The sequence below is a fragment of the Homo sapiens genome, chromosome 10 (assembly GCF_000001405.40).
Source record: "Homo sapiens chromosome 10, GRCh38.p14 Primary Assembly".
In the NCBI taxonomy this organism is placed as follows: domain Eukaryota; kingdom Metazoa; phylum Chordata; class Mammalia; order Primates; family Hominidae; genus Homo; species Homo sapiens.
The window spans coordinates 21,231,116-21,246,939 of NC_000010.11; the positions used below are offsets into that span (position 1 = coordinate 21,231,116).

A 15,824-nucleotide genomic window follows, 5' to 3' on the forward strand; every position below is an offset into this window, starting at 1 on the left:
TCTTGCTGTGTCCTCGCGATGTGCGAGCACTTCTTGGCTTGGTGGATGCAGTGATGAACAAGAAAGCCAAAAGAGCCACCTTTATGGAACTTACATTCCAGTGGAGGAGACAAGCAAACATGTGCTGTGAAGAAAAATAAAAGGCTGGGCGCAGTGGCTCACATCTGTAATCCCAGCACTTTGGGAGGCTGAGGTGGGCAGATCACCTGAGGTCAGGAGTTCAAGACCAGCCTGGCCAACATGGTGAAACCCTATCTCTACTAAAAATGCAAAAATTAGCCAGGCTTGGTGGCACACGCCTGTAATCCCAGCTACTCGGAAGGCTGAGGCAGGGGAATCGCTTGAACTCGGGGGAGGAGGTTGCAATGAGCCGAGATGGCGCCACTGCACTCCAGCCTGGGCAACAGAGCGAGACTCTGTCTCAAAAAAAAACAAGAAAAGAAAAGAAAAGAAAAAGAAAAGAGGATAATGAGACAGAACAATGTGGGGCAAGGGAACAGTATTACAGTCAGGAGAGAACATCAGAGGAAGGTACAGTGAACAGGGGCATGAAGATCTGGGGAGAGAACGTTCCTGAAAGCCAAATAAGGCAGTCAAAGCCCCGAGGCAAAACGAATTTGCCAAGTTCAAAGAATAGAAAGGCATCAGCAGGAGGAGGTAGGGAGAAGGGTAGGAAACAAGATGAAAACTAAAAATAAAATTCTACGCCCTCCAACCATGGAACAGACCCCCTCTTGGCCAAGGACACTTCAGAAAAAAAACTTGAAAACTTAATTCCCAGGCATGGCAGGATGGGAGGCCAGACACACCTCGCTATGCCCCCTCCCTTTTGCGGTTTATACACAACTGATCAGCATTAGTGTTAAAATAGGGATCATAAAACCAAAAAATGCTCTTCATGACAATATGATATCAAATTATAAATAGGACCCAAAGCCATGCCAGACAAGGGTTAAGTCACACTTCCCTACGCTTCGAGAATAAACTATGTTCCAACTGCCACAGGGTTGTTGTTTTTTTTTCTCTCTCTCTCTCTTCTTTTTCTCTTGCCAGCAGGAGGAGGCAAGAAGAAGCATAGGAAACAAGGTTAGAGAGCAAAGTAGCCATAGACCATGCAATTCTCTGCAACCCATAATACAGAACTTGGATTTGACTTTAGATAGTCCAGAAAAGCTTTAGAGCAGCAGTCCCCAACCTTTTTGGCACCAGGGACCTGTTAAGTGGAACACAAATTTGCCACAGACCAAGGGTCGGTCGGGGGGTGGTTTCAGGATGATTCAAACCCATTACATTTATTGTGCACTTTATTTCTGTTATTATTACATTGTAATATATGAGGAAATAATTGTACAACTCACCATAATGTACAATCAGTGGGAGCCCTGAGGTTGTTTTCCTGCAACTAGACAGTCCTATCTGGGGATGCAGGGAGACAGTAACAGGTCATCAGGCATTAGATTTTCATAAGGAGCATGCAACCTAGATCCTTCACATGAGCAGTTCACAATAGGGTTTGCGCTTCTATGAGAATCTAGCACTGCTGCAGATCTGATGAGGCGGAGCTCACGTGGTAATTCAAGTGATGGGGAGACAGACAGGTACCAGTCAGTGGCCTGGGTTTGGGGGTTGGAGACCCCTGCTTCACAGGGTTTTGAGCAAAAGAGTGACATGGTCTGACTTACATTTTCAAACAATCACTTAAGTTTCTACAGAAAACTAGACCACAAAAAGCCAAAAGCAAAAGCAGCAGCTCTATCAGAAGTTGCAGTAGTTCAGGAGAGATGATTCCAACTCAAACTAGAACAGTAGCATTAGAAAAAGTGAAAAGTAGTCAATCTCAGGGTATAGTTTGAAGACAGAACCAAAAATACTTGCTGAGCAATTGAAGATGAGCCATGAAGGAAAAACAGGAATCAAGGACAATGCCTTTTCCTATCTTAGGTTCAACCACATTTCTTTTTTATTGAGACAGAGTCTCACTCTGTTACCAAGGCTGGAGTACAATGGCACAATGTTGGTTCACTGCAACCTCCACCTCCCAAGCTCCAGCAATTCCCACCTCAGCCTTCTGTGTAGCTGGGACTACAGGCACTCGCTAAATTTTGTATTTATTGTAGAGATGAGGTTTCATCATGTTGCCCAGGTTGGTCTCGAACTCCTGGGCTCAAGCAATCTGCCCGCCTTGGCCTCCCAAAGTGCAGGGATTACAGGCATGAGCCACTGCACCCAGCCTCAACCACTTCTCTTGACTTGCTCCAAACTCTGGCACACTATTCAGAATTGTAAGAGCATATTTGGTCATCTGACATTTAGTACTTATAATTTGGGAAGGACTCTTCCATACTAACACACATCCAGCAGAGATATAGATAAATGTATGCATACATAACTATATCTATATCATATATATCTCTATAGATATATATGCATATATACATACATATATAGATATGGATATATATACACATGTACATATTTATGTATCTATATATACATATATAGATATATATCTATATAGAGAGACTTATCTATATATACATATATAGATATATATCTATATATGTATATCTAGATATAGAGACATATTTATATATGCATATATATGGATATATATTACATATATAGATATATATTACATATAGATATATATTACATATAAATGCATATATATGCATATATATTACATATATAGATATATATTACATATATATGCATATATATGGATATATATTACATATATAGATATATATTACATATATATGCATATATAGATATATATTACATATATATGCATATATATGGATATATATTACATATATATATATATGCTGGATGTGCGTTAGTATAGATGCATCCTTCCTAAATTATAAGTAGTATAATTTAGGAGATTGTGAGATAGATAGATAGATAGATAGATAGATAGATAGATAGATATCTCCAAGAAAGCTAAACACTCCAGGAAAGTATTATTTTTAGGACTGGACTGGACTGGACTGGACTGGAAATATTATAAAAGAGCTACTTGTTGAAAAGGGGGTGAGTGGATTTGACTTTCCTATGCCAAAGTGGATTTGGATTCAGAGACGCTGGACCTGATGTAGTTTCCTCCAAATCACATGTTGAAATGTAATCCCCGGTGTTGGAGGTGGGGTCTGGTGGGAGGAATTTGGATCATGTGGGCCGATCCCTTATGAACAGCTTGGTGCTATCCTATCAGTAATGAGTTCACCAGAGAGCGGGTTGTTTAAAGAGCCTGGCGCCACCACCTTCTCTCTCATGCACCCTCTCTCTTCATGTAATTCACCTGCCTCTCCCACTTCACCTGCTATGGGTAAAAGCTCCCTGTGGTCTCACCAGAAGCAGAGCAGATGCCAACACCATGCTTCCTGTACAGGCTACAGAACTGTGAGTCAATTAAACCTCTTTTCATTATAAATTACCCAGTCTCAGGTGTTCCTTTAGAGCAGTGTAAAACTGACTAACACAGACCCTGCTTTCCATTGAGCAGTGACGTGCTGTTAATCCCCCTCTCTCTGCTCCAGCCCACACTGCTATCCATCTCCCAGAGAACCTCAGCCGACTGGGATCAGAAATCTGGCTTCCTAAACAGAGACCAAATCAGCTTTAATGTCTGCAGAGAAGCCAGCTGAACCCACAGTGGCCACCTCCAGTTCACCGTCACTCAGCAGCACTCTGCCCTGAAGTTTCAGAACACTTAAGGTCATTGATTTGTCTGGAGGGAAGTTATATGGAACAGCTGGTTTCCTCCGGTACAGGCCAAAACAAGGCTCAACGGTGAGATATAACCAACACCCAAGGCCTCTTTAACAGAGAGAAAGGAGAGGACCTAAGAAGATTATAGAACAAGAGCCAGGAAGCAATCACAAAACAAAAAGTAGCCAGGCGTGGTGGCACTCGCCTGTGGTCCCAGCATTTTGGGAGGCCAAGACAGGAGGAGCACTTGAGCCTGGTAGTTCCAGACCAGCCTGGGCAACATAGTGAGATGCCATTTCTACAAAAACGTACAAAAATTAGCTGGGCATGGTGGTGTGCGCCTGTAGTCCCAGCTGCTCGGGAAGCTGAAGCGGGAGGATCACTTGAGTCCAGGAGGTTGCGGCTGCAGTGAGCTACGACTGTGCCACTGCAGTCCAGCCTGGATGACAGAGTGAGACCCTATCTCTTAAAAAAAAATCCAAATGTTAAAAAATCCAAAAACATAAGTGTTTTTATTTATTTATTTAAAGACAGAATCTTGCTCTGTCACCCAGGCTGGACTGCAGTGGCGCGATCTCGGGTTCAAGCGATTCTCCTGCCTCAGCCTCCCTAGTAGCTGGGACTACAGGTGCCTGAGACCACGCCCAGCTAATTTTTGTATTGTTGGTAGAGACAGGGTTTCGCCATTATGGACAGGCTGGTCTCGAACTCCTGGCCTCCAGCGATGCAGCCACCTCAGCCTCCCAAAGTGCTGGGATAACAGGCGTAAGCCACTGCGCCAGGCCCATAAGCATTTTTAGAATTCAACAGTTGTTCTCCCAAAAGTGAATATGAGATGGCATAAGTCATTGGGGGCAGCAGATTAACTAGCACCTATGAACTGGGAATAGCAAATAAAAACTTGATAACATTCTTATAGATTTCTGCCTGTTTTAAAAAATATATTTGATTTTCAACTATAATTAGGGATCAGGGATGTGTCAAGACAGAAAAAGTGTTTTACTACATTGTGCATCGATTTATGACACACCCATCTCATCTGAGATGTGGCGATCATTCATGCTTCCTGAAACATAGGTCATCAGTCAAATCTCTGAGAACATATTACAAAATGGAAAAGAAACGACTTTTTAAAAAATGATATGTTGCACAGTCTTATGGCCCCTTGTGGTTGAGAAGGGTTCAAGGCCACCAGCTTTGACATTCATAACCCCCGTAGTCTTTATTTATATGACAAAACAGAAGTCGTTCCCCTCTGGAATGATTTTCTTTTCACTGTACAAGATTAGCATTCAGTAATTCTTTCTACAGGTGTTTCATATCAAATCAATTCACAATAGCTCACAGTCTCAATCATGGGAGGGAAATCTTAGCATGGTTAGCAGTTTGGAGTTATAGCTAGAAATCTTTAAAAAGCCTACAAAGAATTTAACAACTGAATTTTACAATGTTGCTTCCTCATGTTTTGTCATTCTGGTTTTGTTACTCACCTACTTTATTTTATTCCTTTTTTTAATTTTTTTTTTTTTTTTTTTTGAGACAGAGTGTTGTTCTGTTGCCCAGGCTGGAGTGCAGTGGTGCAATCTCAGCCCACTGCAACCTCCATTGCCCAGGTTCAAGCAATTCTCATACCTCAGCCTTCCGAGTAGCTGGGACTACAGGTGCACACGACCACGCCTGGCTAATTTTTTGTATTTTTAGTAGAGACAAGGTTTTGCCATGTTGGCCAGGCTGGTCTCGAACTCCTGACCTCAGGTGATCTGCCCGCCTTGGCCTCCCAAAGTGCTAGGATTGCAGGTGTGAGCCACTGTGCCAGGCCACTCACCTACTTTGAAAAAATAAAATCTTTGAAGATTTCCCCATGGCCTATCAAATTAAATATAAATTTAAATCTGACGTAATTTAGGCCCCAAAATGAACCCCAAACTCTTTCTAGACTCATAAACACTGCACCACCTACTAAACTCCACTAACAACTACAACAATCACTAACATTTCTAAAGCCTTTACTGTAAGTCAGGAACAGTTCCAAGAGTTTCACATCTTAAATAAATTAGTTCTCATAACTACCTAGTAAGATAGGTACTATTATTATTCCCCCTTTATAGAGAGAGGACCAAGGCATCGGTTAGTAACTGACCCAAAGTCACAGACTCGAATTCAGTAGAGTTGGGATTTAAACCCAGGCAGCCTGACACCTAAGCCCAAATGCTTGATCTTGATCACTTACACTCCTTGAACTTTCGTGTTTTGTAGATCCCTCTCTACTCTGCATCTTAAATAACCTCCTCCATAAAAAATCCATTGTCAAAATCCTGTCAAAGCCTGTTTCAAATATGACATCTTTCTTTTTTTGTTTGTTTGCTTTTGTTTTGGTTTGTTTTGTTTTGTTTGAGATAGAGTGTCACTCTGTTGCCCAGGCTGGAGTGCAGTAGCGCAATCTCAACTCACTGCAACCTCCCCTTCCCGGGTTCAAGCAATTCTCCTGCCTCAGCCTCCCGAGTAGCTAAGATTACAGGCGCAAGCCACCACACCTGGCTAATGTTTGTATTTTTAGTAGAGACGAGGTTTCACCGTGTTGGCCAGGCTGGTCTCAAACTCCTGACCTCAGGTTATCCACCCACTTCAGCCTCCCAAAGTGCTGGGATTACAGGCATGAGCCACTGCGCCCTGCCTAATATGACATCTTTCATGAAGCCTTTTTTTCTGTTAACATCTAATTGACATCTGGTCTTCCTTGGAGACCATACAGCATCTCCCTCATATCTTTCTATCTCCCTGATGTTCTTTTTTGTGAGACAGGGTCTTGCTCTGTCACCCAGGCTGGAGGGCAGTAGCACCATGTCAGCTCACTGCAACCTCCACCTCCCGGGTTCAAGAAATTCTCCTGCCTCAGCCTCCTGAGTAGCTGAGACTACAGGTGTATGCCACCAAGCCTGGCTAATTTTTGTATTTTTAATAGAGACTGGGTTTCACCATGTTGGCTGGGCTGGTCTCGAACTCCTGACCTCAGGTGATCCACCCGCCTCAATCTCCCAAAGTGCTGGGATTACGAGCATGAGGCACCACATCCAGCCATATCTCCCTGATGTTCTATTCTACCTTAATTTATTGTTAGTTTTCTTGCCTTAGACCCCTCAGTGATCTATAAACCTTTGAGCAAACAGACTAAGTGTCTTCATCCCTACAGCCCATGCAGCAGCTACCAGAATTCCTGGAACACGGAGAGCTCTTAATAAATATGTTCACCTAATGAATGCTTTCTTCCTTGTTCTGGTCTGATTTTACCTGGGGTGCAAAGCAAAAATAGAGTCTCAACTTTCAGGTGTGGTATCAGGTGTCCTGGCCTTGTGTTATGTCACCCTCAACAACAGTTGGGAGAAAGTCAAGGAAGTATACACACATTTTCCGTAAAGTGAGTCATTTCAGGGGAAAGGGTAATTTTATAGATTGACAATTATCATGTAACAATGTCCAGGTGAATGTCTAAAATAGTTTGTACTTTTTCCTAAGAGCTCAGAGGCATAATCTAGCTTTGCATTTCATAAAAGTGAGTATGATGTTTTTCCTTTAAAGTTAAGAAAGTTGGGCCGGGCCCGGTGGCTCACGCCTGTAATCCCAGCACTTTGGGAGGCTGAGGCAGGCTGATCACCTGAGGTCAGGAGTTCAAGACCAGCCTGACCAGCATGGTGAAACCCCATCTCTACTGAAAAAAAAAAAAAATACCAAAATTAGCTGGGCTTGATGGTGCATGCCTGTAATCCCAGCTACTGGGGATGCTGAGGCAGGAGAATCACTTGAACCTGGGAGGCGGAGGTTGCAGTGAGCCCTCGCGCCATTACACTCCGGCCTGGGCAATAAAAGCGAAACTCCATCTCAAAAAAATTAAAAAAAAAAAAAAAAAAAAAAAAAGAGAAGGTTGAGGGGAGAGGAGGAGGAAAAGAAGAAATGGTTCTTTCTTTTCTTTTAAGATCCCCCCCAAAAGCCTGTATAACTCAGTGGCAGGTGTCTGACTAGTTACTTTTCAAGGTGTGTCTGATGTTGATTTGGAAGGTTCAAGTTACCAAGAAAACAGACGCTTTGGTTACCTTGACAACATAGGAAACTCAGGGCTACAGCGTGTTTGACTCAAAATTCCCTTTCAAACCCTTTGTAGACTGAGTACCATTTTATAAGAATGCCAGGCCTGAAACTCTTGTTTCTGTGATAAATTAAAACTGCACTAGAAATGGTTTTCAAGATAAATACATCTTTTGTTTCATAGATGATAAAGCTACACAGCTTTAATAATTCTGATAAGCCAAGTCTTCTATCTTGAATTGCCTGGGTTGGTTATCTCTACTGCCCAAAGCCCCTGAATAATAGTCCCAAGTCTGTTCCAACTCGTCCTGGTGAGGTGGCAAACATAGTGCATTTTACTTTTTTTTTTAAACAAACACGTGAAAATGAGCTTTGGCCTGATGTTCAGATGCTGAATAGTTTACTCTTCATTAAACATAAAAATGCCAAGAAATAGTCGTTTGAAGAGATCCAATTATTTTTTCAGGGATCTAGTCAGCTGCTGCTGACTAGATACCAAGGGAAACAGATACCCTGAAATGCTGTCCCACTCTGCACCCCCACATCCCATTTTCTCACTCCTGCCTTAGTCTTTTCCAGTCCTGTCAGGCTCACTGAAAGGACTTATCTGCAAGACCCCCAAACCCAGAATTTTTAGAGTGCTGCTCCCCTAAAAGCTCTGGGAGGTCTCTTCTTTGTACTCTATTCCAGCCTCTGAATCCCTCTCCCAAGTGCCAGAACATTCGGGGCCTTGACCCTTCTCCCTTGGGACTGCCAGTGCAAATGTGATCTTAGCCAGCCTCGTCCAAACTCAGAACAGATTTTATTGTTAAAAAATGCAGTAAGTGGCAGGGCGCGGTGGCTCACGCCTGTAATCCCAGCACTTTGGAGGTTGAGGTGGGCGGATTACAAGGTCAGGAGATCAAGACCATCCTAGCTAACATGGTGAAACCCCATCTCTACTAAAAATACAAAAAATTAGCCGGGCATCGTGGCGGTCACCTGTAGTCCCAGCTACTCTGGAGGCTGAGGCAGGAGAATGGCATGAACCCGGGAGGCAGAGCTTGCAGTGAGCCGAGATTGCGCCACTGCACTCCAGCCTGGGTGACAGAGCGAGACTCTGCCTCAAAAAAAAAAAAAATGCAGTAAACGGTAGTCAATATCTGTATTCCTGTTGGTACAATAAAATAGAAGCAAAACAGAATTTTGTAAACTAGCCTAACAACCTGTACATAGCTGGTATATCTCTTTCTAGCAGGAACGTTTTCTTAGTTCAAACCAGCTAAGTTACCGACAAAACTCTTGGAACCTAATATATTCACAAATTGGATTCTCCCTGTATTTCTAGCTTTTCAGTGCATTTTACACACTGAAAATCCCTTTGTTAGTTTAGGATCGTAGAGATTCGTTGCATGTAAGTATAGTCTAAGGAAAATCAATCGCTTGGTTCATTTTTTTAAAAAGCCATGATGTGACCGGGAGCAGTGGCTCACGCCTGTAATCCCAGCACTTTGGGTACCAAGGCAGGAGGATCACCTGAGGTCAAGAGTTCGAGACCAGCCTGGCCAACATGGTGAAACCCCATCTCTACTAAAAACACAAAAATTAGCTGGGTGTGGTGGCACTCGCCTGTAATCCCAGCTACTTGGGAGGCTGGGGCAGGAGAATTGCTTAAACCCAAAATCGCGCTACTGCACTCCAGCCTGGGCGACAGAGCTACACATTGTCACACACAAAAAAAAGCCATGATATTAGATGTGTGAAATATAAAAGCAATATTTAATATCGTTACAAGTTATTCTGGGATTTGGTTTTTAATGTTTTTACATTTCTAACAAATGATGTTACAAGTTCAGAATATAAAATAATATACCATCTTTTAGTTTTTTTCTGGGTTAGGATAAGTAAGTAAAATTGTAAGTTTAGAAGAAAATAGTTACAATAGAATTTTATCTCCTGGGAAGAAAAGGAGGAGGAACACTCATTTTCAGAACAGAACAGGGCAAAACACGCACACATACACACACACACACACACACACACACACACACACACACAAAACCAGTATCAAACTGTCTACAACTTTTGGCATGTTGAGAATTTTCTACTGAGCCCCATTTTTGGGGCTTTCACGATCATATTTCCTGTTTCTTCTGTGGCTTTATTTTTATCAGCTTCACAGATTTGTGAAAAGAGGAGTTCTTCCCAGATTGAAATATGTTTCACTACCCTTTCACGTGTTTATTTCTTGGCTTACATTCAGGCTTATGTCCTGATTTCAGGTTTGTGTTATATCTCTCGAACATGGAATGAGCTCCTTCACAGAGTCCAGAAGCTAGAAAACCCCGATGCCAGCAAAATAAATAAATAAATAAATAAATAAATAAATAAATAAATAAAAATAAAAATCAATCAAAAGGACCAAGAGCCAGCCTGAGCCAGGCCACCAGGGGGCCGCCTGCGGGATGAGCTTGTTCGGCCCCCTGGGTTGCATTCCCGTTCCAGGCGGCGCATCTGTGGCTGTTCTGCTTCCTGTAGCTTTTGGAAACATCTCTCCTACTTCAAGCATTCCCCTAGAGGGATGGTATGTTTTGCAATGAAGTCAACTCAGCAGTAACACAACCATGGCTGACATTTCTGCCTTCGTGCCAGAAAAATGTTCTTAGTGTATACTCTTCCAGAACATTCTGTTTGTGCTTCATTGTCATGTTCTCAATAAGTCATTTGCTACAGGCTGAAAAAGGGAGAAAGACATGCAAGATTTTTCTCCACATCTGGAGAGCCAGATGTGGAGCCTAGGTAAGGAGGTTCCTATGCCTATACGGAAACCAGGCCACCACCCGGGCATTTGAGTTCAGCGTGGTCAGCAGGGTGGTGACAATGCTATCAGCATTAAAGAGGAATTAAAAGACATTAACCTGGTGACACTTTGTAAAGTCATCAAGTTCTTTATAGACCTGGGATTCCATTTCTGTCTTAGTACATCTTGGTCATTGAATGGACCCACAGCTCATCTAAGAAACGTTCTGTAGGCCAGGAGCAGAGGCTCACGCCTGTAATCCTAGCACTTTGGGAGGCTGAGGTGTGTGGATCTCTTGAGCCCAGGAGTTCAAGGCCAGCCTGGGCAACATAGTGAAACCCCATGTGTACACAAAATATAAAAATTAGCTGGGTGTGGTGGCACACACCTGTGGTCCCAGCTACTTGGGAAGCTAAGATGGGAGAATCACTTGAGCCTGGGAGGCAGAAGTTGGAGTGAGCCAAGATCACGCCACCACTGTGCTCCAGCCTGGGTGACAGAGCAAGACCCTGTCTCAAAAGGAAAAAAAAGAAAAGAAAAGAAAAGAAATGTTCTGTAAAGAAAATGTGGTACATACACACCATGGAATACTATGCAGCCATAAAAAGAATGAGATCACGTGCTTTGCAGCAACATGGATGGAGCTGGAGGCCTTTATCCTAAGTGAACTAATGCAGGAACAGAAAACCAAATACTGCATGTTCTCACGTATAACGGGAGCTAAACGTTGAAAATACACGGACACAAAGAAGGGAATAACAGACACCGGGGCCTGATGAGGGTGGTGGGTGAGGACTGAAAAACTACCTATCAGGTACTATGCTTATTACCTGGATGACAAAATAATCCGTACACCAAACCCCCATGACACACAATTACCTGTAAAACAAACCTGCACATGTACCCTGAGCCTAAAATAAAAGTTTTTTTAAAAAAAAGAAACATCCTGCTGTACTGGCCGAGAGGTGCACAACTCACTTGGGTAAATTGAGGAAGGAGCCACTACACTAATAATCCTATAGGTAGTTTGTATTTACAAAGTACTGGAAGCATTTCAATATACCCAGTGGCTAAAAGAATTGACTGTTTTTCAAGCTAGGACTGGAAAAAGAGCTAGCTTGTCCAAACACCTTTATCTAAGGAAGCTGTAAACCAAGTCTCAGGCAGAGTGAGCTATGAAATGTCAACAAGCAATGTTTGGGGGTGAGAAGAACAGAAAGAAAAAAGCCACAATGAGCCCCAAGCACACCCCTGCCTTGGGAAATCAGGCAGTCTCCTTTGGGTGGCAGGGTTTTGGGTAAATAGTGTTTCTGATCTTATGAGGGTCTCAGAAGCCTTTGACCTTTGCTTTTGCAGCCATGCCCACCTGAAGGAATGCATGATCAGGGAAGCTGATAAGAAAGCTGATTGCTACACTCTGATGAGTCTCCACTTAGAACCTGTTGCCACTGCTCCTGTTCCGGGAGTGGGAAGTGTCTACTGAGTGAGATTAAAATCATGGTAGACATCCATTCAAGATATCTAGACCTTTGCGGACATCTTGTCAACCCGCAGGACCAAGCATGACCTAGCCCCTCTGTAGGCAAATTCCCCTGGGTGATTGAGCATTCTTTTTTTTTTTTTTTTTTTTTGAGTCAGGGTACGGTTGCATGCTGTCGCCTAGACTGGAGTGCAGTGGTACAATCTCAGCTCACTGCAACCTCTGCCTCCCAGGTTCAAGCAATTCTCCTGCCTCAGCCTCTGAAGTAGCTGGGATTACAGGTGCACGCCATCACGCCTCGCTAATTTTTGTATTTTTAGTAGAGATGGGGTTTTGCCATGTTGGCCAGGGTGGTCTCATACTCCTGGCCTCAAGTGATCCTCTTGAGCCACCATGCCTGGCCCATATTATCATTAACTAATTATGTGTATTGGCTCGTTATGACACACCAGGAATCATGCCAGTCATTTCACAAGCATTATTTCTTTAAAAATTTCAGTAACTGTAAGAGGGAGGTGCCAAGGCTTTATCCCCATGAGGTAGGGGGATTGAACATTTGCAAATTTCAACCTGCGCTTCCTTTCCGCATTCTCCCCACACACAGCGGCAATGGGGACATTCTGCACACATTCCCCTAGGCGTACAGATAGCACAGTAGAAACAGCGAAAGAAAAGTTTATTCCCAGGTCCAAATACACTTTTGAGCAAAAAAAGAAAGAGAGAGAGAGAGGAAGGAAGGAAGGAAGGCGAAAGGGAAAGGGAAAGGGAAAGGGAAGGGGAAGGGGAAGAGGACGGAAGGGAGGGAAGGGAGGGAAGGAAGGAAAGGGAAGAAAGGGAAGAAAGGAAAGAAAGGCATGTTTTTTATCAAGATGTGATTTATTTTTAAATAAGTTTTTTTAAACTAAAAAATAATAATGAAAATCAGCAATTCTTCATCTCACCCCTTTCAATCTTTCCCCAGGCCAAATCTTGAATGTCACAACTTTCCACTCCCTAAGCTTATTCTTTTTGTTTTTTGACAGTCTTACTCTGTCTCCCAAGCTGGAGCGCAGTGTGGCCCGATCTTGGCTCACTGCAACCTCTGCCTCTTGGGTTCAAGTGATTCTCCTGCCTCAGCCACCTGAGTAGTTGGGATTACAGGCACCTGCCACCATGCCCAGCTAAATTTTGTATTTTTTTTTTTTCAGTAGAGACTTGGTTTCACTGGGTGCAGTGGCTCATGCCTGTAATCCCAGTACCTTGGAAGCCTGAGGCAGGCAGATGACCTGAGGTCAGGAGTTCAAGACCAGCCTGGCTAACATGGTGAAACCCCATCTCTACTAAAAATACAAGAATTAGCCGGGCATGGTGGCCGGCGCCTGTAATCCCAGCTGCTTGGAAGGCTGAGACAGGAGAATCGCTTGAACCTGGGAGATAGAGGTTGCAATGAGCCAAGATTGCACCACTGCACTCCAGCCTGGGCGAAAAGAGCAAGACTCTGTCTCAAAAAAATAAAATTAAACTAAAAATTTTTTTAAAAAATTAAAAATTAAAACTTAAAATAAAAAATAAATAAATTAGGCCAGGCATGGTGGCACACAACTGTAGTCCCAGCTACCGAGCAGGCTGAGGGCAGGAGGATCACTTGAGTTTAGAAGTTCAAGTTCAGCCTGAGCAACACAGTGAGACCCTCACCTCTAAAAAATAAAAGTAAAAATTAAAAGTCAGGCCAAGTGCAATAGCACATGCCTGTAATCCCAGCACTTCAGGAGGCCAAGATGGGAGAATTGCTTGAGCCCATGAATTCGAGACCAGCCTGGTTAACACAGCAAGATGCTGTCTCTAAAAAAAAAAAAAAAAATTTAATTAGCCAGGCATGGTGGCACAAGCCTGTAGACCCAGCTATTCAGAGGAGATGAGGTGGGAGGATCACTTGAGCCTGGGTGGTTGAGGCTGCTGTGAGCTATGATCATGTTACTGCACTCCAGCCTGGGCAACGGAGCAAGACTCTTTCTCAAAAAATAAAAATAAAAAGTCAGCATTTATAAAGGTCCACATCCTGAAAGAAAACATCTGGGAAGAAGGAGAGAATACTCAACCTAAGAGAGCAGAAATCTTAAACACCTGTAGAAACAGTGAGTTTGACCAATGCTTCTGAGAAGCATCAGAGAATTTCTCAGTTCAGACAAGGTGCATGTTAAACTATGGTATGTTTTATTCTGTTTTGAATATCATACTGAATACATTACATAAGCTTAATGATAAATGTTATCTATCAAATTAACTATTTAACTATAAGAAGTCTGCCCCGGTAGGGAAGTAGGGATTTATCCTTGCATTTATTCATATTTTCTGATCTTGAATTAGGTTCTGTTTGGGTTTGTTGTTGTTGTTGTTGTTTTGAGACACAGTCTGCCTCTGTCACCCAGGCTGGACTGCAATGGCACGATCTTGGCTCACTGCAACCTCCACCTCCTGGGTTCAAGTGATTCTCCTGCCTCAGCCTCCCAAGTAGCTGGAATTGCAGGTGCCCACCACCATGCCCGGCTAATTTTTTGTATTAGCTGGGCATGGAGACGAAGTCTTGCTCTGTTGCCCAGGCTGGAGGTGCAATCTCCACTCACTGCAAGCTCCACCTCCTGGGTTCACACCATTCTCCTGCCTCAGCCTCCCAAGTAGCTAGCATTACAGGTGCCCACCACTACGCCTGGCTAATTTTTTGTATCTTTAGTAGAGATGGGGTTTCACTGTGTGAGCCAGGATGGTCTCGATCTCCTGACCTCGTGATCCGCCCGCCTCAGCCTCCCAGAGTGCTGGGATTATAGGCATGAGCCACCGCACCCAGCCATATATTACTTTTTTATATACTTTTTTCCTTCTGTGTCCCCACACAGAGCTACATTCACTTCATCAGAACAACTTGGTAGTGAACAGGAGGAGTGCGCTGTGTGACCTTGATGCAGTTACTCTACAGACTTTTGATAAACTTGACCACAAACTCCTCTAGAGCAGGGACTGTGTCTTCTCTGCCTTTCCTCAACACCTTGCACCATGCCAAGTGTTTAAAAAATATTTGTTCTACCAAGTGATGGTGAGAATGTGACGCAACTAAAACTTCACTAGTAGAAATGTGAAATGGTATAGCCCCTCTGGGCAGTTCTTACAATATTTAACATACACTCGCCATATAACCCAGTAATCCCACTGCTGGGTATTAACCTTAGAAAAGGAAAATGTTACGTCATACAAAAACTGGGACGTGAAGGTTTATAGCAATTCTATTCATATTTGCCAAAAACTGAAAACCACTCAAATATCCTTCAAGGGATAAGTGAGTCCTTTTTTTTTAATTGGGCCAGGCACAATGGCTCACGCCTGTAATCCTAGCACTTTGGGAGGCCAGTGCAAGAGGATCACTTGAGGCCAGGAGTCTGAGACCAGCCTGCCTAGTGCTTTGGGAGGCCAAGGCAGGAGGATCACCTGAGGCCAGAAGTTTTTGTAGAGACCTGGTCTCTACAAAAAAATTAAAATAAAAAAATCATCGAGCGTGGTGGTGCATGCCTGTAGTTCCAGCTGCTCTGGAGGCTGAGCAGGAGGATTGCTTGAGCCCAGGAGTTTTGAGGTTGCAGTGAGTCATGATCACACCACTGCACTCCAGCCTGGGTGACAGAGTGAGACTCTATCTCAAAGAAGAAAAAAAATAAATTGGTATATCCATACTGATATAGTTTGGCTCTGTGTCCCCACCCAAATCTCACGTCAAATTGTAATTCCCAGTGTTGGGGGAGGAAC

General features: G+C 43.3%; 1 protein-coding gene across 2 annotated transcripts in view; it reads right to left on the bottom strand.

The window, feature by feature from the left end:
* NEBL (nebulette) overlaps positions 1 to 15,824 on the bottom strand; it is a 513,078-nt gene that overhangs the window by 451,143 nt on the left and 46,111 nt on the right. The window lies entirely within an intron of this gene.